This window comes from Homo sapiens (assembly GCF_000001405.40).
Source record: "Homo sapiens chromosome 14 unlocalized genomic scaffold, GRCh38.p14 Primary Assembly HSCHR14_CTG2_UNLOCALIZED".
NCBI lineage: Eukaryota > Metazoa > Chordata > Mammalia > Primates > Hominidae > Homo > Homo sapiens.
In genome coordinates, this window is record NT_167219.1 from 56,236 (window position 1) to 58,680 (window position 2,445).

Below are 2,445 nucleotides of genomic sequence, written 5' to 3' on the forward strand. Positions count from 1 at the left end.
AGCCTAGACTAAAGTTACAGCACCTGGGAGGTCAGTGCAGAGATATGTCACAATGTCCCCAGTAGACACAGACCAGGCAAGAGTTGGATCACAGAGGGATCACTGCAGTGATATGTCTCAATCCCCCTGTGGGCATAGCCTACACAAGAGTTACATCACCTCGGTTAACATTGCAGAGATATGTCAAAATGCCCCTGTAAGCAGAGCCTACACAAATGTTACATCACTTAGGTGATCAGTGCAGAGATATGTCACAATACCCCCTGTTAGCAGAGCCTAGACAAGAGTTGCATCACCTGGGTGATCAGAGCAGAGATGTGTGACAAGGCTCCTTTAAGCAGAGCGTAGACAATAGTTACATCACCTGAGTGATCAGTGCAGAGATCTGTCACAATGCCCCTTTAGGCAGAGCTTAGACCAGAGTTACATCACCTGGGTGATCAGTGCAGTGATATTTCACAATGCCCCCATAGGCAAATTCAAGACAAGAGTCCGTCACTTGGGTGATCAGTGCAGAAATATGTGACCATGCCCCCTGTAGGCAGAGCCTAGAGAAGAGTCCCATCACCTGGGTAATCAGTGCAGAGATATTTCACAATGCCCCTGCAGGCAGAGCATAAGCAAGAGTTACATCACCGAGAAGATCAGTGCAGAGATATGTCACAAGGCCCCCTATAGACAGAGCTTGGACAAGAGTTACATCACCTTCGTGATCAATGCAGTTGTATGTCACTATGCCCCGTAGGCAGAGCCTAGTCAAGCGTTACATCACCTGGGTGATCAGTGCAGAGATATGTCACAAAGCTCCCATACATAGAGCCTAGACAAGAGTCGCATCACCTGGGTGATCAGTGCAGAAATATGTCACAATGCCCCCATAGGCAGATCCAACACAAGAGTTACATCACCTGGATGATCAGTGTAGAGATATGTCAAAAAGCCCCCACAGGCAGAACCTAGACAAAAGTCCCATCACCTGGGTGATCAGTGCAGAGATATATCACAAAGCCCCTGTAGGCAGAGCCTAGACAAGGGTTACATCACTTTGTTGATCAGTTCAGAGATGTGTCATGCTGACTGTTTGCTCCCGGAGCTCTGCAGGCATCTGGAAACATGCAGGGAAGGGTAGAAGACCGTCATGGTGCTTTCGCTCTCCTTGTCAGTTTCCAAACCAGCCACACTGTAGACTCCCCATATTGCCCCACACGGGAATCCATCGTCAGGCCATCACGCCGGGGAGGCATCTTCTCTCTGGGGTCTCACTCTGGTCTCCTACGTGGAAATGAACGAGAGTCACACGCCTGTGCATGGGAGACTGTCCCAGCAATGGCGACACCCACAGGCACTGACTACTTCACGGAGACACGGCCTGGAACACTCAAGACTCCCACGGAGGTTCAGTTCCACACCCCTCCACCCTCCCAGGCCGTTTTCTCCCTGCTCAAGATGCGTGGGAGCCCAGAGAGTGGCCTCCAGTTCCCGCGGGATTCCTGAAGTGGTCCGGAGAGCCAGCCCCTGAAACGCGCCCCCCTCACCCCTTCGCCCTGCCCCTTCCTCTTCGTCTCTCCGGCCCCACCACCACCATCACCACGGCCTCCCCACCCACCCCACCACCCCCCGGCCGCAGGCCTTGATGCCCTGGGACTCTTCCGGGGTGGGGCGGGCTGTCCCAGGGCTCACAACCATTCATGAAGAGGTGGAGACTGCCTGCCTGCGGGCCTTTATAAGAACCGCTGGCTGGTTGTCCAGGCAGGTCTCCTGGTTGAACCTGCCACAGTGCACAGGCCAGCTGAGGTGCACGGGAGCCCACCGGACTCTCTGCCCATGTCCGTCCTTGAAATTCCGGCCGGGGCTCCCCGCATTGGCCCTCCCGACACCTTCGGACGGGACCCTCCCCGCGGAAGCCCGGGGACTGGGACGGCGAAGGAGACTCGTTTGGACCCCGAGCCAAAGCGAGGCCCTGCGAGCCTGCTTTGAGTGGAACCTGTACCCTGGTGTCGCCACCAGAGAATGGCTGGCCTTGGCCATCGGCATTCCGGAGCCCAGGGTCCAGATTCGGTTTCAGAATGAGAGGTCATGCCAGCTGAGGCAGCACCAGCGGGAATCTCGGCACTGGCCCGGGAGACGGCACGCAAGAAGGCAGGTGCAAGCGGACACTGTCACTGGATCCCAGACAGCCCTGCTCGTCCGAGCCTTTGAGAAGGATCGCTTTCCAGTCCCGCCGCCAGGGAAGAGCTGGCCAGAGAGACAGGCCTTCCAGAGTCCAGGATTCAGATCTGGTTTCAGAATCCAAGGGCCAGGCACCCGGGACAGGCAGGAAGGGCGTCCACACAGGCAAGCGGCCTGTGCAACGTGGCGTCCGGCGGGTGTCACCCTGCTCCCTCGTGGGTCGCCTTCACCCACACCAGAGCGTGGGGAACGGGGCTTCCCACACACCACGTGCCC